Source organism: Homo sapiens, chromosome 3 (genome assembly GCF_000001405.40).
Source record: "Homo sapiens chromosome 3, GRCh38.p14 Primary Assembly".
Lineage (NCBI taxonomy): Eukaryota > Metazoa > Chordata > Mammalia > Primates > Hominidae > Homo > Homo sapiens.
The window spans coordinates 63763712-63786823 of NC_000003.12; the positions used below are offsets into that span (position 1 = coordinate 63763712).

General features: G+C 38.9%; 1 protein-coding gene and 1 pseudogene across 3 annotated transcripts in view; one reads left to right on the forward strand and one right to left on the reverse strand.

The window, feature by feature from the left end:
* The window catches only part of CDHR18P (cadherin related family member 18, pseudogene), a 55641-nt pseudogene that overhangs the window by 5715 nt on the left and 26814 nt on the right, over positions 1-23112 (reverse strand). Inside the window, exons 2-4 of one of the 2 annotated variants that reach the window (NR_197413.1) lie at positions 21020-21143; positions 18721-18827; positions 2962-3060 (exon numbers count right to left, since the gene is read on the reverse strand). The product of NR_197413.1 is annotated as a cadherin related family member 18, pseudogene, transcript variant 1 (transcript). The remainder of the gene's footprint in view (positions 1-2961; positions 3061-18720; positions 18828-21019; positions 21144-23112) is intronic. The other variant, NR_197414.1, reaches the window with a different exon arrangement.
* Positions 15996-23112, forward strand: part of C3orf49 (chromosome 3 open reading frame 49) — a 68930-nt gene continuing 61813 nt past the window's right edge. The window contains exon 1 of the mRNA XM_047447470.1: positions 15996-16076. The gene's annotated coding sequence lies outside the window, so the exon portion shown is untranslated. The remainder of the gene's footprint in view (positions 16077-23112) is intronic.

Here is a 23112-nt window from a genome sequence, read left to right on the forward strand (position 1 = left end):
ACTTCTCCAAAGCTGCACAGTGAGAAAAACAAAGAAATGAAATCCAAGTACAGCCCAGATACAGTGGTTCATGCCTGTAATCCCAGCACTTTGGGAGGTGGAGGCAGGAGGATTGATTGAACCCAGGAGTTCAAGAGCAGCCTGGCAAACATGGCAAAACTTAATCTCTACAAAAAATACAAAAATTAGCTGGGCATGATGGTGTGCACCTGTAGTCCTAGCTACTTGGGAGGCTGAGATGGGATGATTGCTTGAACCTAAGAGGGTTAGGCTGCAGTGAAATGTGATTGCACCACTGCACCCCAGCCTAGGCAACAGAGTGAGAAGAAAGAAAGAAGGAAGGAAGGAAGGAAGGAAGGAAGGAAGGAAGGAAGGAAGGAAGGAAGGAAAAAGAAAGAAGGAAAGAAAGAAAAGAAAGAGAGAGAGAGAGAAAGAAATAAGAGGAGAAGGAGAAGGAGAAGAAGGAGAAGGAGGAGGAGGAGAAGAAGAAGGAGAAGAAGAAGAAGAAGAAGAAGAAGAAGAAGAAGAAGAAGAAGAAGAAGAAGAAGAAGAAGAAGAAGAAGAACTAGAAGACAAAGGAGAAGGAGAAGAAGAAGAAAAAGAAGAAGGAGGAGGAGGTGGAGGAAAGGAAGGAAGGAAGGAGAGAGGGAGGAAGGAGAGAGACAGGGAGGGAGGAGAGAGAGAGGGAGGAAGGAGAGAGAGAGGGAGGAAGGAGAGAGAGAGGGAGGAAGGAGAGAGAGAGGGAGGAAGGAGAGAGAGAGGAAGGAGAGAGAGAGGGAGGAAGGAAGGAAAAAGGAAAAAGGAAAGAGGGAAAGAAAGAAAGAAAAATAAGAAAGAAAGGAAGGAAGAAAGAAAGAAAAGAAGAAAGAAAGGAAAAGAGAGAAAGAAAGAAATTCAAATGTGTGGGCTTTTGATTTTCCAGTCTTTCCTCAGAACATTTGTCTAACGTTTGATTTCCTAGTCTCTCAACATTTGCAGTTGTCTGGCAAGGAAATAAGCTGGCTTGAAGTAGTGTGGGTTCCACCCAGTGTTATGCTGGCAAATGTTTAAAAACCAACTCTCTGAAAAAAAACTGGTGTGTGTGTGTGCGCGCGCACATGCGTGCGTGTGCATGCACACACATATTCACATAAATATATGTTTGTTATAAATTTTACTGATATAAAAGATAGGGAATGTAAAATTTACAGTTAACGATGAGATATAAAATACTCTGTATTGTAAATTTCCATATAGACAATTGATTTTCATAGAATGCTTTCACTGATTCACAAACTGTCCTACACATTGCCACACTATGATTGCAAATGACAAATGAGTAGTGCCAACATGAATGTTAGTTGATATTTTCCTTTGTATTAAAGAGTAAGGTGAAAGTGAAGCCGTGGCAGAACTTCACTAGCTCATCAATGATGGGAATGGCTTATTTGCTGAATTGGAAAACAGTTTTTGATTGCTAGAAGACTATTTCCACAATTTTTGTGCACTCACAACAATAATCTCAGACCTTTTTTTTTTTATACTTTAAGTTTTAGGGTACATGTGCACAATGTGCAGGTTAGTTACATATGTATACATGTGCCATGCTGGTGTGCTGCACCCATTAACTCGTCATTTAGCATTAGGTATATCTCCTAATGCTATCCCTCCCCCCTCCCCCCACCCCACAACAGTCCCCAGAGTGTGATGTTCCCCTTCCTCTGTCCGTGTGTTCTCATTGTTCAATTCCCATCTATGAGTGAGAACATGTGATGTTTGGTTTTTTTGTCCTTGCAATAGTTTACTGAGAATGATGATTTCCAATTTCATCCATGTCCCTACAAAGGACATGAACTCATCATTTTTTATGGCTGCATAGTATTCCATGGTGTATATGTGCCACATTTTCTTAATCCAGTCAGACTTTTACATTTAATCTGTATTATTAACATTTTCTCTATCAATTTCTTAAGACAAGATAATTTTTTTTAAAAACTATGAATCAAGTTTTAATATGTAATGTTTGTTGATTTCTATGGTATAAATGCTCTCACCATTTTCAATTTTAAATTTTCAATAATTATTGCTAACTTGGAAAGAGAAATGCAGTAGCATGCCATTCTATCTATGGAATTTCACCATTCTATTTATGGAATTTCACCATTCAGTCCCAACAGATGTGAATAACCTCAAGGCAAATATAATAGTAAAATGTAGTAACATAATTAAGAAGTACTGAGTTTTTAGCATTTACTAACTTTTAACATAACTTTTATAACTAAGTTTATTAATTTATTTTTAAGAATATTATTAATAATCAGGTTATCAAATTCCTGCAGATTTAACAATTGGATCTTGCAAGCCAGTATGATTCAACTCTAGCACACAACTGGTTCCATCCATCCCTTGAAGTATTCAAGTCAAACCTGAAAGAGATGCTGAAGAAAGGATGTGTTCCTCTCTTAGATGACAGAAGATACAAGTAGGACCTCTGCTGTCTCTTCTAAATTTAACGTTCCTTGATCTATACTAACAAATGTGTCCTACTTAATATGTAATAAATGGCTGAAAAAGAACCCTGACTAAGATCTTGACTCTGGACCTAAAATCATGACCCCAGACATTCACAGGATTGAATTGCGTGGACAATGAGCACATCGTTTCTACCTTCTTTGCATTTAGATCTAATTTAGAGGCAAGGGGGAAGATAAATGGAATAAAATTAGTATTGTGTAATTTTTTATTACAAAAATCCTACGTCATCAAATGTTAAGGAAGTCTTCGGGGAGCCATCAAAATGATACACTGAAGGTGTTACCAACGAAAAGTGCCTTGTTCTTGAGTGTCTGGGATTCCATAATGCTCTCTTATTTGCTTGCATTTTGTAAATGTATATGCTTTTTTCCACTGGCCATTCATTTGAAATGTGGTAGGTGTTTCCTTCTGCATGTTTCAACACCATAGACTTGGGGAATCTCTTACCTCCCAACGTTTCCGGAACAGAGAATGAATAGTGTGCAGCTTTAAATACAGGGCTGAAGTCACTGGCAGGAGCAACCTTCACAATGAAGGTCACAGTTGCTGTGAAATTGAACACTGAATAAATGCTTTGTTGTTGTAGTTTTATTCCACAAACAAGCTCCCCGTCCCCCCAGGAACAGGCTTAGCAAGGAATTTTGAAACTGCAGTGGGATTCTCTGTGCTCCCAAGCAACCCCTGCTCCCAGACTGCATTCTCAAGGAACCAAAATAAATTTTGGTGCTAGCCAAAGCAATTTAGTGAAAAATACATAATGTATTGCATGGTATATTTTGTTTTGTATAGTAGAAATATGCATGTATTTATATACATCATTTAAAATATACAATTATATATTTCACACAAGATAGTTTATTGCATTTTTCATGGGTACAGTCTCCTCCATTAGAGAGTTTGTTGGCGTGTCATTCTCAACCCAGCATGTGACATTCTCAATTCTGCTTTTAATGTATATCCTAGAAAGTGGAAGGGAAAGAGACTCAGAAAATCACGTTCAAGGCTTAGCCTTGAACACGTACAGCTGTTCCTCAGTATACACGGGGACTGGTTCCAAGGCCCTGGCATATAACAAAACATGCACATGCTTAAGTCCTGCAGTCAGCTCTGCAGAACCTGTGAATACAAAAGGTTGCCACTCTAATACATGCAGGTTTCTCATACTGAATACTGTATTTTGGATCTGCATTTGGTTGAAAAAAATCTGTATATAAATGGACCTTCACAGTTCAAACCCATGTTATTCATGGTTCACCTGTACCCTGAGGCCTTGAACTAGCTTAATTTCTCCAAGGATCAGTTTCCTCATCAAAGAAAAAAAAAGGAATAACATCAGTTTCAATCTCCTACATCACAGTGTGGGTATGAAGACAAAATAAGATCGTGCCCAAGAAGGTATATTTAAACTATAAAAGGTTAAGTAAAAAGGCAGCTATTACATTTTATTCACCTCAGCCAAATGTTTGTATATTGTGTGTTACCAAAAATGAACTCTGTATTTCAGACAAACAAGCTTAAACTATCATTACAGAGTTGTCAAAAAGAAGGAACTTGATGTCTCAACATAAAAGCAAGAAACTTGCAAACACGGAAAAATTTTAATAAAGGTAAAATAATAATTAACATTTACTGTAAAAGGTACTGATTTGCCATTGGTATTATTGTCCCCATTTCACAGGCAAGAAAACTGAGATTCACAGAGTTCAGTTCTTAGACAAAGATCACAAAACTCATAAGTCACCAGATGGGTATTAAACCAAGCTATGTTCACCAGCATCTCCCAAAATATCTTCTTTGAGATGCTAATGTGTCAAAAGTAGAATCCTAATGAAACAGAGGTAAAAGGTTTCTTTTTGGCAAGACTTCTTCAGATCTCCAATATATCATTATATATGATAAATCTCCAGGTATGCCTTGCTCCCCAAATTTATTTGACCAAAGAATTCTTCTTTAGTGGATTATCTTGTGGAATTCATGTTCTGAAGAGTGCTGGTATTGCCTCTACTGAAAATCCATGCCACGTGTGTCAAATAAGAAAATTTAATCTAGGATTCGTAGGATTCATAGAACGTTTACTTCAGAGAATCTGTGACATTCATTGAATTTTGGTATGTGTTGTTATGTGCATTTTTCAAGGGATAGGATCCACAGCTCTTATCAGAATCTCAAAAGTGTTCATGCCCCACAAGAAAGATTAAGAAGCACTATTCTACAAAGACAGGTGATTTACGTTAAAGCCTCTATATTTCCTACAATGAACGTCACTCATGTGTTGCAAGAGCAGGTGCCATTTACAGCTCTGCCATACAATGATTTTTATTGCATCCATAAACACTCAAAACTATACTAATTAGCTGGCTTGTAAAAATATATTGAACTACTTGTGCACTATTACAAGCATCCTTTATTCACATCCTTTGAATGTGTTGGGTGTGAAGGGACTAGAAAGAATGGGGATTTATTACTGTGAGAAATGTCTTTCCTCTTCCGTATCAGGGAAAGGCTCAAATCTGGTGAGAGGGAAAGACTCTTTTTTGATTAGAAAATCAATATGAGTAGCTGCAAGAAAGTGTATCCATCCTGAAAGGTCAATTGGGCTACAATATAGGCTTCTTGCATCAGAACACAAGTTAGGAACAGAGAAACTACAACAAGAACACTTCTGGGCATAGTGTCATGCTTAAGTCCCTGTCCCTTATACATCATCTTTCCACATGGTTGGGTCATTTAAGTATTCAAATCACCTTTGTAGACTTAGCCTCATTAGAACTCTTGTATCCGTGAGTCAAGAGTGATTTAATGAGCCCTAGATGTGCTGATTACAGTTCAGCCTAAGTTCCCTTTGGTTGCAAACGTATAGATATATACCATCATTCCACTCTTATCCATCCATGACAGACAAAGCACTCTTCCTCATTGCTCCCAGATGCAATCTCAAAATCCTTCTCAATGACCCAGGAAATTACCACCAATGATTCAGACTTCTCACAAGAGAAGAAACTCAAATGCCACCCCTATTCTAGGCTCTCCTTTACCAGGAACTGACATTCTACTACTAAACTTATGTTTGCAACCCAAACACCCACATTGTCTTGAATATCTTTGATGCCAACCAACTGCTCGATTACTTACTACCATATTTTCCAGATACAATAGATGCTTGGCATTAATAACAAATGTATCCAGAATTTTAAGAATCTCTACTTTCACAAATACCTCTATAGCCAACAAATTAACTCTTAAAATGGTAATACATAGGTGAATATGTAAATGACCCTTTAGGGCACTTGTATGTTCTGATGTGTAGTACAATAAGCAAACAGAAGCAGGTGTCAGGTGTTTAACTAAGCTGGGCCACTCTCTAAGTACTCTGCTCTAGATCTATAGCTCACAATTTAAATATGTACCAAAGAGTGGTTTACAATTAGCAAAACTATGACTATTAAATCCACAAATGCCAAGAATTTTATGACCATAGAATCTGGGTGGACTTAATCTCACTGTACCAAAGACTCATTCTAACACAGGCTGACCCAAAATGGTGGGATGGTTATGAAAAGACCAAATGGCAGAGAGGGATAACCATGCCCTGCACCTCCATGAAGGTGTTCCCGGGCTGCGGAACTTGGCAAGTAACTCATGATTTGCATTAATATGGCTCTATATATGTCATATAAAATAATTCAAATAAAATACTTTTAAAACATCCTATTACCTATATGTTCAGACTACATGTTGCCCAACATATGGTTCTTTTCAAGTAAGAAGTGTCTGGCATTACTAGCATAAAGGTATTCAAGTATAAAGCATAAGAGTTAGTTCTACACATCCCTTGCCCCTTCTACCTCCTAGGATCTCTAGCTGGAGTGGTATTTAAGAATTGTGTATTCATTAAGGCATTGTTAAGAGGCAAAAGAGACTTCCCAGATCTAATGAAAACTTCCAACATGAGTCTACTTAATTCTCCTCTTCCTCCTTTGCCCAACTTCAAAAAACTGCCTCAAACACGATGGATCTTTACATTTTAAAATCTAAATTGAAGAGTCTAGAGTATAGACACTTATTGCTCTTTGAAAAGTTTATCCAGATTACCTGTATGGGAAGGAAGTAGGTCATAAAATACTAAAATCATTATTTCATAGGTATGTCCAGCTGCAATTATCTCTGGGTCTTCATAGTCCAACTCTTTAGTAACCTTATAAAATGAGATTTCTTTGAACAAAAATGACCAAATTTTTTAAACGTACATGTTTTCTGTTTTTGTTTTTGTTTTTGTTTTTGAGATGGGGGTCTCACTATGTTGCTCAGGCTATTCTCAAACTCCTGGGCTAAACAATCCTCCCACCTCAGTCTCCCAAGAAGCTGGGATTACAGACATGTGCCACTGCACACCCAGCTAAATGTATGTGTTTCAAGTAATACATCATTCTGCAAAAGGCAAGCATATCTCCATTTTCATTTCACAGGGATGGTCTCAGAATATACCCAAGACTGACACAGACTGACACACAAAAGCAGGCAGTTTGGTGAAACAAAGGCACATCTTAGATTTCCTTCCAGTGTAGATTACTGTTGGACAAAGCATTGTGGCAAAGTAGAATAAAAAACGGGTTGTATCCTGTCTTTACTGCATGTAAATGGTGTGACCTTAGGCAATTTTTTTTTTTATTATTATACTTTAAGTTTTAGGGTACATGTGCACAATGTGCAGGTTAGTTACATATATATACATGTGCCATGCTGGTGTGCTGCACCCATTAACTCGTCATTTAGCATTAGGTATATCTCCTAATGCTATCCCTCCCCGCTCCCCCCACCCCACAACAGTCCCCAGAGTGTGATGTTCCCCTTCCTATGTCCATGTGTCCTCATTGTTCAATTCCCATCTATGACTGAGAACATGCGGTGTTTGGTTTTTTGTCCTTGCAATAGTTTACTGAGAATGATGATTTCCAATTTCATCCATGTCCCTACAAAGGACATGAACTCATCATTTTTTATGGCTGCATAGTATTCCATGGTGTATATGTGCCACATTTTCTTAATCCAGTCTATCATTGTTGGACATTTGGGTTGGTTCCAAGTCTTTGCTATTGTGAATAGTGCCGCAATAAACATATGTGTGCATGTGTCTTTATAGCAGCATGATTTATAGTCCTTTGGGTATATACCCAGTAATGGGATGGCTGGGTCAAACGGTATTTCTAGTACTAGATCCCTGAGGAATCGCCACACTGACTTCCACAATGGTTGAACTAGTTTACAGTCCCACCAACAGTGTAAAAGTGTTCCTGTTTCTCCACATCCTCTCCAGCACCTGTTGTTTCCTGACTTTTTAATGATTGCCATTCTAACTGGTGTGAGATGGTATCTCATTGTGGTTTTGATTTGCATTTCTCTGATGGCCAGTGATGGTGAGCATTTTTTCATGTGTCTTTCAGCTGCATAAATGTCTTCTTTTGAGAAATGTCTGTTCATATCCTTTGCCCACTTTTTGATGGGGTTGTTTGTTTTCTTCTTGTAAATTTGTTTGAGTTCATTGTAGATTCTGGATGTTAGCCCTTTGTCAGATGAGTAGATTGCAAAAATTTTCTCCCATTTTGTAGGTTGCCTGATCACTCTGATGGTAGTTTCTTTTGCTGTGCAGAAGCTCTTTAGTTTCATTAGATCCCACTTGTCAATTTTGTCTTTTGTTGCCATTGCTTTTGGTGTTTTAGACATGAAGTCCTTGCCCATGCATATATCCTGAATGGTAATGCCTAGGTTTTCTTCTAGGGTTTTTATGGTTTTAGGTCTAACATTTAAGTCTTTAATCCATCTTGAATTGATTTTTGTATAAGGTGTAAGGAAGGGATCCAGTTTCAGCTTTCTACATATGGCTAGCCACTTTTCCCAGCACCATTTATTAAATAGGGAATCCTTTCCCCATTGCTTGTTTTTCTCAGGTTTGTCAAAGATCAGATAGTTGTAGATATGTGGCGTTATTTCTGAAGGCTCTGTTCTGTTCCATTGATCTATATCTCTGTTTTGGTACCAGTACCATGCTGTTTTGGTTACTGTAGCCTTGTAGTATAGTTTGAAGTCAGGTAGCGTGATGCCGCCAGCTTTGTTCTTTTGGCTTAGGATTGACTTGGTGATGCGGGCTCTTTTTTGGTTCCATATGAATTTTAAAGTAGTTTTTTCCAATTCTGTGAAGAAAGTCATTGGTAGCTTGATGGGGATGGCATTGAATCTATAAATTACCTTGGGCAGTATGGCCATTTTCATAATATTGATTCTTCCTGCCCATGAGCATGGAATGTTGTTTCATTTGTTTGTATCCTCTTTTATTTCATTGAGCAGTGGTTTGTAGTTCTCCTTGAAGAGGTCCTTCATGTCCCTTGTAAGTTGGATTCCTAGGTATTTTGTTCTCTTTGAAGCAATTGTGAATGGGAGTTCACTCATGATTTGGCTCCCTGTTTGTCTGTTATTGGTGTATAAGAATGCTTGTGATTTTTGTACATTGATTTTGTATTCTGAGACTTTACTGAAGTTGCTTATCAGCTTAAGGAGATTTTGGGCAAAATATTTTAAAAGAGAAAACATTTTGTTTCTTTCCAAACTTCAGTGTAGGAAAAAAAGAGAAAATATTTTGAATGTACTCTGTAAGCGATAAAGCACTATACAAAATGTAAGTTATTCTTATTATGATGTTTCCTCACCACTTAAAAAATACCTGTTAAGTACTAATTATGTTTGAGGTACAGTTGTAGGCACTAAGGACATATCAGTAAACAAGATAGTCCCCTATCAGTGACTTGAAAACAGTCCTAATTTAGTAGCACAGGCATGAATCTCAGGTGGCATAAATTGGAATGGATCTATATGACACCAAGTACCCAGGTGTTCAGGAAGAACCACATTTTAAAAATTTTAGAAACTGACTCATTTGTCCATCCATTCAAGTATATTGAGTACCCACTATGCACCAAGCAGGTGTTGACACACAAAAATAAACCACTTAGAAATGTGTAAAGCTTACAGTCTAATAAGAGCAACAATGAGGTAGGCATTTACAACAGAGTCTAACAAGTGATTTGATAGGGAATATACAACTAATAATACAAGCCCTTATCAGGGAGAACTAAGCCAGTTATGGCATTAAAGGAAGCTCTTAGGAATAAGTAACATTTAATATCTGTGGAACAATTATGCAAATATAAAAATAAATTAGAGGTGAGAAATGGTGGAGATAGTTACCCAAATATAAAGTGAACATACGAAGACCCAAATCTTAGCATCATGTTTATAAAACCTCCATCTTCATCCAAATTTCATTTTAAAAGGTGATAGTTTGGCATTGCATTTCAAAATGAACATCAACCCAGGAAATCTCTTGGCTCAGTGCCTAAGCTTCCAAAATTCACAATATATGCAAAAGGCCAGCTTGTAGCTTATGGAGTTTGTCACAAAAATCTGGGGTTAGGGCCAGAGAAAGAGAAATGTTACCAGTGGTCTCAGCCATATCTTCTGGCTAAGTGTGGGGAGGGTGCTTGGTGATATTTGGGTTATAAAATCTAACAAGGATTAGCACTTTGAAATAAAGATCTATGGAAATTAGAAGTTAGAAGGAGGGATTTCTTCCAAGACAGAATCCCATCTTGGGAAGCAAAAAGAAAACTTAACTGTGTCCATCATCTGCCGATGGAAAGTGTATAATCTCCAGAGGGTATAGAAAAGAGGAGCTGATCAACTGCTCCCAGTGCCAGGAGAATGAACCATTGTCACACACATAGTCACACAGACTAATCTCTAAGGAAATCAGTGTGCTTTTTACCCTCTGATTCATTTCCCCAGCTAACTAGGACACAAATTACTTTGTGCTTATTATAAGAAGGAGAAACTGGCCGGGTGCGGTGGCTCATGCCTGTAATCCCAACACTTTGGGAGGCCGAGGTGGGTGTATCACGAGGTCAGGAGATCGAGACCATCCTGGCTAACACGGTAAAACCCCGTCTGTACTAAAAATACAAAAAAAAAAAAATTAGCCGGGCGTGGTGGCAGGCGCCGGTAGTCCCAGCTACCCGGGAGGCTGAGGCAGGAGAATGGCGTGAACCTGGGAGGTGGAGCTCGCAATGAGCCGAGATCACACCACTGCACTCCAGCTTGGGTAATAGAGCGAGGCTCTGTCTCAAAAAAAAAAAAAAAAAAAAAAAAAAGAAGGAGAAACTGATGACAGGCATCAAGATAATAAAGGACTTGCCCAAATGCCTTCCAGCAAGGGGGGACCGCTTGAGGTCAGGAGTTCAGGACCAGCTTAGGCAACACAGCAAGATCCTGTCTCTACAAAAAAATTTAAAAATTAGTCAGGTGTGGTGGCACAGGCCTGTAGTCCTAGCTACTGGGGAGGCTGAGGCAGGAGAATCACTTGAGTGCAGGAGTTCAAGGCTGTGTGAGCTATGATCACTCCACTGTACTCCAGCCTGGGTAACAGAGCAAAACTTTATTTCTAAAAAAATATTTTTTAAGACAGCAGAGGAGCCCAGAATTACGCTGTGCTATGTTAGAGTTCCTCTTGCTGAATCCACCAGCAGCATCTTAACTGTGGCCATAAAATGACTCCGTCTCTCTGGAGTTACAGCAACTGTTTCTCACCTGGATGACATTTTCAGCATTTGGCACTTGCTCAAAGAGTTGTCCAGAACCAACTGGGCCTGAGCTAGGAGCATAATGGATTGTATCAGGAGGCTCATCAAGGTCCCGACACAAGAGTTTTGCAACTACTGTATCTTTCGCAATTTCCTCCTTGAGTGTGTGCCTGTTTAATTTTTTAAGAAGAAAAATCCCTTTAGATAGATATTATTTTTAAATTTAATGCATTTTCCATAAATATACACTAGTTTGGGTAATGCATGTGTGTAGATGCCCCGTGTATCCTGGAGCAGACAGCTCAACTTTGGCGTACCATCTAAGAAGCCATTTCCCAAAAGGTTCTATGAATTTGGTAGGATTGTTTTCATTTTCTGGGAGTATGTATTTTCTGAACCCAGATGGGCACTTGTTTGGGATGGGCAGTTGATCAAGGACATCACCTTAGTGGAGAAGTCTTAAGTGGGAATCAGATAATTCTCTGGGATTGTTCCAACCTGGAACATCTGGGTGGTGTGGTCAAGACAGATAATCCTTACCATTCTATAGTCAAAGTGGATTTATTTTCATCTCAATATGTTTACCCATTTCTTCATCAGGATCTCTCTGCCTCAAATGCTCACTCTTAAGCCTTCAGCCTCTAAAACCTACTCATCCTTCAAAGGCTAACAGCTCTCATTCCTCAAGAAGCTCCTCTGATTATTCCAGTCTCATGTGTTCTTCCTCTTAACAATTAACGCACAGCACCTAGAACTTGAAGTCATTGCACATTTTTATCATCTGTCGTTTTACATATATTCATCTTATCACTCTGACAAGATACAATCTTCTTACAACAAATGACCATAACAAATACTCATACTGACACCATTAGGGGCTATAGCACTGGGTGCAGCATATGGTAGGTGTTTGGTTAATTAAATATGATTCTCCTGGGGGAAGAAGAAGGAGAAAAAGTAGAAGAAGAAGAAAGAAAATGAGAAGCAGAAAGGATAACATTTACTGAGTGTATGCCAAGCCCAACTAAACAAATTCCAAGTATTGCTTATATTTGATCCTTATGACAATGCTGTGAGGTAGGTGCAATAATCACCTCCATTTGGAAGATGGAGTAATTGGGACCCAAACAAGACCACATGGGTGGTAGTTAGCAAGACTAGATTTTGTTTTTGATTAGGCAATTAGGAGTAAAACCTAGGAAACGTGGGACAGCTGTCCTCTGTGTAAATAAGAAACAGAAGGGAGTTAAGGGGGAAGAAGAGTGACACAGATGTAGGTTTGGAGACTGAGTTTCTGATAATAAAAATATTCCTACCAACGATAATACAAACCCGCCATCCCTTATCCAAACTCCAAAATCCAAAGCTCTGAAACTAAGAATTTTTTCATAACTTACTTGGCATCAAAATTTAGCCTGACCCTACCTGAAATTTTCGACTTCAAAACCTTACCTGAACTGTCAGATCTTTATTTGTCCCATTTAGTGTGAGTATTCACTATAAATTTGAATATGGGGTATATGGATATTACTCTTGCTGGGGAAGTTGCATAATATATGATATACACATCCTATTACATTTCTAAAGTCAGATAAAAATATCTTCATCTTGAAACATATTCAATGCCAAAGGTTTCAGATAATGGGTTATTTAACTGTAATAAATTGCATTTATAAAAGTCATGTGATATGTGAGCACTATGTTCAGAATCTCACATAAATTATCCCACTTTTTCTTCACAACAATCCTGCAGGTAAGTACTATTATTATCCAATTTTATAAAGAAAAAAACTGAAAACCAAAGGCTTAAGTAAGTTACCAAAGATCACACAGCTGAAAAGTGATAGAACCAGGATTCCAAGCTAGGTCTATGGTTCCAAAATTCAAGCTTTTGCCACTTACTGTCAGATCCTGGAAATCCAACTTGCAATAATGAATAGTGATATAGTTTAGATATTTGGCCCCTCCAAATGTCATTTTGAAATATTATTCCTAATGTTGGGGGATGGGGCCTGGTGGGAGGTGTTTTGGTCATAAGAGCGGATCCCCCATGATTTGTGGGATTGGTGACACCCGTCCAGAGTGTTCTCACTCTGGTAGTTCATAGGAGAGCTAGTTGTTTAAAAGAGTGTGACACCTTCACCTCTCTCTTGTTCCCTCTCTTGCTATGTGATGTATTCGCTCTCCCTTTGCCTTCAGCCGTGAATAAAGGCTTCCTAGGCCTCACTCAAAGCCAAGCAGATGCTGACACCATGCTTTTTGAACAGACTGCAGAACCATGATCTTATTAAACCTCTTTTCTTTATACATTACCCAGTCTCAGGTATTCTCTTACAGCAACACAAAATGGACTAACACAGATAGGCCCAACAGGTTATTTCTGAGGACCATTACCTGGGGATGAACAAGAGTCAATTTGATGATTAACCACATGTCCAGTTGGGCCAATAAATATGGCAATCTCTCTTCTCTCGACCCACTCCAAATTCTTGCCCATGCCCACCTATCTCAGCACACCTAATGAGGTACTGATCACAGAAAGGTGAATTGTCATTAATGCCATGGGTATAGGCAGTTACTAGAATTGCTGCACACTGCCAGTCACAGTCACGAGCCTTAATGGAGAAGGACTGGACACTTGCAAACCCAGCTCTCTCCACGTCAAGACGTGTAGCAGTAAACACAGTTCCACGCTCTGTAACAAAATAGCACATCTTCTACAAACTGATCCATGCTGTCATTTTCAAAATTACTTTATTACATACATAACAATGGAAAAGATAAGGGGAAAATTATGCCCTATTCATTAGAATTAAGACATAGATTCAGGCCAGGTGTGGTGGCTCACGCCTGTAATCTTAGCACTTTGAAAGGCCCAGGTGGGGAGACCACTTGATGCCAGGAGCTTGAGACAAGCTTGGGCAGCATAGTGAGACTGATCTCTTCAAAAATAAAAATTACAAGTCAGCCACGTGTAGGTGGGAGGATCGCTTGTGCCCAGTTCAAGGCTGCAGTGAGCTGTCATCACACAACTGCACTCCAGCCTGAGCCACAGAGCAAGAAACTGTCTCATGAAATAAATGAATAAATAAATAAATAAAATAACAGAAAAAGAAAGTGATTCCAAATATAGGCACAATTTTAATTGTTTATCACCAAAATACACTAATTAATCATATTATGTTAGCTGGTAACAAAAAGAAAATTATTTTTGGCTTAGGGAACAGAGAAGACTTTTTAGAAGAGGAGGCCCTTATTTGGGGACTTGACATATGTAGGATAAGAAAATGGTGGTGAATGGGGAGATCGTTCCCGATAGAGAGTATCATAAATGAAAACATGAACCATAACTCACTGTGCTTCTTTCCACACATCCATCCACATATTCACTCGACAAACATTTATTGAGTGCCAATTATGTGCCAGGAACTGTGCTAAGTTCTGTATATGCTACAATGAAGTGAAATCTCTACATTTATCAAATTTATAATCTGGGCTGGGAGACAAACACTAAGCAAGTGTAGAAAATCAAAACACAAAATTCAAATAGACATATTATTAAGAAAATGAAAACTGTAAAGTGATTTTTAAAAATAAGGTCTAATGGTCAGATCCTGAAAAACACAAGAGCAAACATCCCAAGGCAGGCAGCCTAGCTGTTTGGTTTCAGTATAATGGACCAAGAGGGCCAAGGAACAGGATGAGGTTGGAGAAGGATACAAGGGCCAGAGAAAATATCTTGGGAGTGGGGTAAGAGTTTGGATTGCATTCCAAATGCAAAGGAAAATCCCAGGAGGATTTTACACAGGGGAGGAATATGATCCAATTTAACTTTAAAAAAAATTATTCTAGCTGCTCTGTGGAGCTTCTAGGAGGCGGTAAGGGTGAAAGAAGAAGCCCAGTTAAGAGAAATGAGCATTAACTCAGGTAAGACACAATGGTGGCTGTCATGATTGGGGGCTCCTCTAGAGACAGAATCTGAGATGGGGATTAGAGTGAAAGTAGTTTATTTGGGAGGTGATCAGAGCTATGTGGCATAAGAAAGATTAGAGTGAAAGTAGTTTATTTGGGAGGTGATCAGAGCTATGTGGCATAAGAAAAGTGAGACAAGGAAGAAAAAATCCCAATAAAAAGTACATCATCAAACAAGTCATTACTGTGGGAAGCTAGAATTTAATAATCCTGGGAACCCTGGAAGCGAGTGTAGAATGCACATTCAAAATTGTCCCCCACCAGAGGCAAAGAACTAGAGTGCACCAATTCCTTTCGTTCATTGACTGAGAACTCCTAGGAGGTAGTATTTCTCCAACACTTCCTGGGGGGTGGGGCAGGGCAGAGCAGATGTCAGATCCAAATAATACCTCAAGCAAAGAAATGCATATACTAGCAGGTGGAAATTGGGCTTGCTGCACTGAATTGTTAAGGCCTGAGGAGGTATGAGTAGGATATTGACAGCATCTGCTACAATGGCTTAAACCAGCCTAAGTGCTAAGATGACCACCTTTCTTCTTTACTCAGCCCTAGAGGAAGCCTTAAATACCACACAATCTGACCCTCCCCCGGCCTCAGACACAGCGGATTGGATGAGGAATGAATGAGTGACTCTAGAAAGTCCAATCGGATTCTCTCTCTCTCAAAAAACTTGGACCTGAAGTACAGAGTAGAGTTAGTTAGATCTGAGAAGATGTGCTAGAAGGGTATGTTCAGTGAAGGGCTAGGACTGCTGCTTTGTAGCGGATGAAGAGCCACATATTATTAGCTCATAAGTGAACAAAGACTTGGGTCTCACAGAGAGTTATTCAACAGATGTTTATGAAGCATCTACTATGTGCTTCATGTTGAGGTTCTGAAAACGAAGAAGACTGATATGTAACCCCAAGAAACTCAGTCTGTGGAGGAAATATAAAGATCAACAGAAGACGGCAATAGCATACGGTAGGATATATAATTTGCCAAGAACTTTTCTCAACCTACCTTTGTCAACTGCAAAGTAATCATTCCGTGGATCTAGTTGAAAGGTTAAATCCCCCAGGTTATCTTCATCTGTTGCCTGGCATACTCCAATCATTTTCCCAATTGGAATTTCTTCATCCAGTGTGATGTCAACTTTATTGTGCTGAGTTGAGTTTTGTTTGTTTGTTTGTTTTTTAATTATACTTTAAGTTTTAGGGTACATGTGCACAATGTGCAGGTTAGTTACATATGTATACGTGTGCCATGTTGGTGTGATGCACCCATTAACTCGTCATTTAACATTAGGTATATCTCCTAATGCTATCCCTCCACCCTCCACCCACCCCAAAAAAGGCCCCGGTGTGTGATGTTCTCCTTCTTGTGTCCATGTGTTCTCATTGTTCAATTCCCACCTATGAGTGAGAACATGCGCTGTTTGGTTTTTTGTCCTTGCGATAGTTTGCTGAGAATGATGGTTTCCAGCTTCATCCATGTCCCTACAAAGGACATGAACTCATCATTTTTATGGCTGCATAGTATTCCATGGTATATGTGCCACATTTTCTTAATCCAGTCTATCATTGTTGGACATTTGGGTTGGTTCCAAGTCTTTGCTATTGTGAATGGTGCCGCAATAAACATACGTGTGCATGTGTCCTTACAGCAGCATGTTTTATAATCCTTTGGGTATATACCCAGTAATGGGATGGCTGGGACAAATGGTATTTCTAGTTCTAGATCCCTGAGGAATCGCCACACTGACTTCCACAATGGTTGAACTAGTTTACAGACAGTCCCACCAACAGTGTAAAAGTGTTCCTGTTTCTCCACATCCTCTCCAGCACCTGTTTCCTGACTTTTTAATGATTGCCATTCTAACTGGTGTGAGATGGTAACTCATTGTGGTTTTGATTTGCATTTCTCTGGTGGCCAGTGATGATGAGCATTTTTTCATGTGTCTTTTGGCTGCATAAATGTCTTCTTTTGAGAAATGTATGTTCATGTCCTTCACCCACTTGTTGATGGAGTTGTTTGTATTTTTCTTGTAAATTTGTTTGAGTTCATTATAGATTCTGGATATTAGCCCTTTGTCAGATAAGTAGATTGCAAAAATTTTCTCCCATTCTGTAGGTTGCCTGTTCACTCTGATGGTAGTTTCTTTTGCTGTGCAGAAGCTCTTTAGTTTAATTAGATCCCATTTGTCAATTTTGTCTTTTGTTGCCATTGCTTTTGGTGTTTTAGACATGAAGTCCTTGCCCATGCCTATGTCCTGAATGGTAATGCCTAGGTTTTCTTCTAGGGTTTTTATGGTTTTAGGTCTAACATTTAAGTCTTTAATCCATCTTGAATTAATTTTTGTATAAGGTGTAAGGAAGGGATCCAGTTTCAGCTTTCTACATATGGCTAGCCAGTTTTCCCAGCACCATTTATTAAATAGGGAATCCTTTCCCCATTGCTTGTTTTTCTCAGGTTTGTCAAAGATCAGATAGTTGTAGATATGCGGCATTATGTCTGAGGGCTCTGTTCTGTTCCATTGATCTATATCTCTGTTTTGGTACCAGTACCATGCTGTTTTGGTTACTGTAGCCTTGTAGCATAGTTTGAAGTCAGGTAACGTGATGCCTCCAGCTTCATTCTTTTGGCTTAGGATTGACTTGGCAATGCGGGCTCTTTTTTGGTTCCATATGGACTTTAAAGTAGTTTTTTTCCAATTCTGTGAAGAAAGTCATTGGTAGCTTGATGGGGATGGCATTGAATCTATAAATTACCTTGGGCAGTATGTGTGCCGAGTTGAGTTTATGGAAGTCACACTCGAGACATCATTTTCAATATTTAATAAACTTGTTTAAAAAGGAAAGATTGTGAGAGAGGCATTTGCTTGCTGTGTATTCTTTTCTACACCTTATGGTGGCAGAAGAGTAGGAGGTTGGAGATTGCAATGATAAGAGTGGAAATTGTGACCATGAGCTTAACAAGCAACCCATTTATTGATCACTTACCTACAGTTTAGACAAACTCCTAAGCATTTTTTAAGTGTTGTTGCATTTATTCCTCACAGCAACCCTAGGAAGTAGGGACCATTTTTTGTCCCCATTTTACAGACATGGAAATGGAAATTGTAAGACATTAGGTAACTTTCAGAAGTAAATATCAAGGTGGCTGAGAGAGGATTTGACCCCGAGCCTATCTGGCTCTAGAGCCTGTATGCTTAATCACTGTGCTCTTATCCTTCTGTAAGAACCAGCTTCTTACTGGTTCTTATAGTGAATCACTGTTGACCCTCAATACGGTTTTATAAACTCCTTGATGATAATATTAGCCAGAATCTCCCTTGAGGATAGAGAGAGATAATCCAACATAAGTCAGACACTAAGAACATATTGCACTAACACTTTATTCTATTGCAATTTCAATACACTTTATACTCTAAAATTAATTTGCTTTCAGTTTTTAAGAAAACCCTTTTTAAAAAATCTTACATCTTAAAGTGGATGTTTACATCTTACTCGTTTATTTTCCTTCTCAAAAAAAACAAACAAACATAAAAATTTAATAATGAATTTGCAAAACATTTTCAAATTCAATTTTCAAGGTCAAACTAAAATATTATGTTTTATGATCTTACCTGTAGATAAGAATGGGGTCCTTATTGTGTACATTGATGAGAAAAATCTTTAGATTTCCAGCTGTAAACAGTCCTCCAGAGTCAACACTTTAATAACCACTGAAAAACTGAAAATGAAGCCACAAGAAAGACAGTTGAGATTGTACAGAAACTAACAGGCTTTCACAGAAGTAGAATCTGTTTAGTTACAACAATCAGTTAAAACAATCGATTCATCTAGTTAAAATGTCAATCAAGCCAGTTATTTTAACAGTTAGAAATGGCTAACATTTTGTTAAGGACTAAATCAGTCGAGTCAGTTGAAAGGACAGGCAGGAACTTAGAAAAGTCTGCTAATCTCCATACACAATAAAAAGGCAAAGGGAAATCCTTAGCATGTTATAGCAAACAGAACTTATGGCTATGGGTTCTTACCTTCCAAACACTGATGTTTCAATTTTGAAAACAGACACATGCAAAGGAGAAGGTGTTAAGAACACTTCAAAACAATTTAATGACTATGAGGGGATATTAGGACAGTTAGATGACTAATGGGATTTTATTTTAACAGAGATGTGTAGGGGTTTGAGGCATAAGAGTGCTCGAAATGATGAAACTGAATGAATCCTAATTGAAAGATGAATGTTCATATCCATAAAGTATGATCTTGGGTGGTCAACTCTCCCAATTTGCCCAGGACTGTCCAGGTCCAGAGATTTAGCACTGTAAGTCTCCCATCCCAGAAAACTCCTCTGTTCCAGCAAAACTGAGAGCGTTGGTTATCCCTTCAGAAAAATAAAAAATATACTTGAAATGTACTATTAAGACCAAACTGACTGTTTTCTTCCACTTGTAATAAAAACTAAACCAGTTTTCAATATCCCTCTTCTTTCATAATTTTTCCTACAAGAAGATTATCTATGAGATACTCTTGACAAAAACCACAAGTCAATCACTGTTAAGAATAAAGACATTTAAAAAATAATTCTGGGCTGGGCATGGTGGCTCATGCCTGTAATCCCAGCACTTTGGGAGGCTGAGGCAGGCAGATCACAAGGTCAGGAGATTGAGACCATCCTGGCAAATACAGTGAAATCCCGTCTCTACTAAAAATTACACACACACACACACACACACACACACACACACACACACAAATTAGCCAGGTGTGGTGGCGGGCACATGTAGTCCCAGCTACTTGGGAGGCTGAGGCACGAGAATGGTGTGAACCCAGGAGGTTGAGCTTGCAGTAGGCCGAGACTGTGCCACTACACTCCAGCCTGGGCAACACAGCGAGACTCCATCTCAAAAAAAAATTAAATTAATTAATTCATTAATTAATTAATTAATTCTGGGAAGCCTTTACTACAAGAATAGAAGGAATAAGGTATGGATGAGATCTGCAGCACTAAAGAATTCAAGCTACCTGTGGTCTAGCTGAATGCTGGAGGGTTGATGACAGCAAGGAAGGAAGAAAGCAATGAGCCTTTCTAACACTTTCATCAGGACTTGAACAAGTGATTTCATGGCCCCTATATCTTTTTTTGAAAGGAGAGAATGGAGAGAATTGATAAAAGTCAATGAGGCATTTCAAAATTTCCTTGACTCTCACTTAAAGGTCTGCTCAGTGACCCTAGAAGCTCTGCAGCTAAGAAGGAAATTAAGGAATAGTTACTCTCTGTAAAACTTCAATGAGGTCCCATTGCAAAGCTTTAGCCAAATACTTATTTATTCAAATTCTGCAAACAAAGGTTAACTTGTCCCATGTTAGCTCCTTTGATTTAAATCATACTGAGAAAAAGGAAAGATTTAGTTTTCACTTATCAAGAAAAAGTTAGTTTGTTAAAAAGTCATTAACAACTTTTACTCCCATTATTAACAAATCTGGGGATTTATAAATACCTTGCTTGTGCATAATCACTCTTCCATGAGATACACCAGGCCAAAAAGAAAAGAAAAACAAAACTGTGATGGCTATAATCCATTATTCCCAGAGTGATTTATGAAATAAGATAATGCAAATAATTGTTTGTCATGGGGCACAGCAGTGGAATTAAAGGAAAATGGATAAAGATTTTGGCAATTTCTACTAAAAAAATATATAAAGATAATGCATACAGCTGACTTTAAGAAGCTGGCAGAAGACAGCATATCCCATTTTTTTGGCCAGGCATGGTGGCTCACACCTGTAATCCCAGCATTTTGGGAGGCCGAGGCAGGTGGATTACCTGAGGTCAGGAATTTGAGACCAGCCTGGCCAACATGGTGAAACCCCATCTCTACTAAAAATACAAAAATTAACCGGGCGTGTGACACATACCTGTAATCTCCCAGCTACTCAGGAGGCTGAGGCAGGTGAATCACTTGAATCCAGGAAGTAGAAGTTGGATTGAGCCAAATACGCACCACTGCACTCCAGCCTGGGCGACAGAGTGAGACTCCATCTCAAAAAAAAAGTGAAAGTGTTAGAAAGGCTAATTGCTTTCTTCCTTCCTTGCTGTCATCAACCCTCCAGCATTCAGCTAGACCCCAGGTAGCTTGAATTCTTTAATGCTGCAGATCTCGTCTAGTTTTGAACTCCTAATCTGTTTCACTGAGAGGTAATCTCATATGATGTGTGGGCCCCTAGTCTCCACTGGACTTCTCTTCTTCTTCTTTTTTTTTTTTTTTTTTTTTTTTTGAGACAGTGTCTTGCTCTGTCACCCAGGCTGGAGTGCAGTGGCGTGATCTCGGCTCACTGCAAGCTCTGCCTCCTGGGTTCACGCATTCTCCTGCCTCAGCCTCCCGAGTAGCTGGGACTACATGCGCCCGCCACCATGCCCGGCCATTTTTTTTGTATTTTTAGTAGAGACAGGGTTTCACTGTGTTAGCCAGGATGGTCTTGATCTCCCGACCTCATGATCCACCTGCCACGGCCTCTCAAAGTGCTGGGATTATAGGCGTGAGCCACCGTGCCTGGCCTCCACTGGACTTCTCTTCTAAAGATGCTAACACTTAGGATATATCCCATCCTCAGCTTTCATAATAGAAAAGAATATCTTATCAGATTCAGGAGCAATTTGATTGGAAAGGTTTAAAGGTCCATTTCCTTTTCCTATGAAGCACATTGATGCAGAACATATGACTGAAAAGGGTGTTCATAAAAATCACTACAAAAATAAAAATAATAACTTGAACCAGTGGCTACCCACTTAGGAGATGGCATGTGTGTGCATTAACTTTTTAAAGATACTGTATTACACGGTGAATGAATTTGGTGTCACAGGTATCCAGAGAGGAGTATTCACCTACTTCCACAGCAGGATGCAAATGCCACCCCCAAAATAATCGTGGCTTCACTCTGAAAACAGGATGATGCAGAGAGGAGCCCCAACAGCCAAGTCTAGCATCAACCAGCCACCATGCAACTATCTGTTAAGTAATGATTTCATTAAAAAAAAGAAAACCACCAAAAGCATCTTAATTTGGGGAGCACATCAAGGCCAGATGAGGGAAAATATTCATGAAAAGGGAAATACGAACCAAAGAACTGGCATTCCAAATGAAAACCCAGTAGTAGTATTTACCTTCTAGATTCACTTTCAAAATCAAAAACTGCTGCTGTGGAAATTGTTCCGATGCTGTCAATTATAAAGCCAGAGCCCTCCGGGGAAATGAAGTACTGTTTATTGGACAGTAAAGAGAAAGCAAAATATTGCAGATACATCAACTACTTCCCTGGCCTGATTCCACGCATCTCTAAAAACCAGGCGTGAAATCTCTTTGTGCTCTGAGCCCATTCCCACTCCCCTGACCCCCCTCCCCTATACATGATAGACGCTCAGTAAATGTTCGTAACTGATGATGATGATGATGAAGTTATATTCCATTCAACCAATTTCAAGTTTCAATTCTTTCAAGTTTCTATTCTTGAAAAATTTCTATTCTTTTTCAAGAATAGAAAAATGAATTTTCCTGTTCTCTTATGTTCAGTATGTTATCTGAACATTTCTCACAACACTTCCCCCAATGCTAAAATTAAATAAAAAGGAGTTTACATTTAGAGAAACATGCTGACTGTTTAATGAGAACTCAGGGATAATTTTGTTTGTTTGCTTGTTGATGGAAAGAATGGGCTTTTATGTGGAGGGAGGTCGTGGAGCTAAAGAAGGAAAAAAAATATGAAATACTCCGACGTCTGTTCATCTGAATTTGTATGTGTAGGCACAGGCAATATTTTATCAAGTTGTTTTCTTAACCTGTCTTTGATTTTCATTTATACTGCCTTCCAGTTGCTCTGTTAAGTGCTTCAAACACGTTGTCTTTTAATTCTCACAATAACTCTATGTCATAGGTACTGATATTATCCCTATCTCACAGATAGAAACACAGGCTTAGAAATTTCAAGTGGCTTGTCCCCAGTTTGAGAGCTGA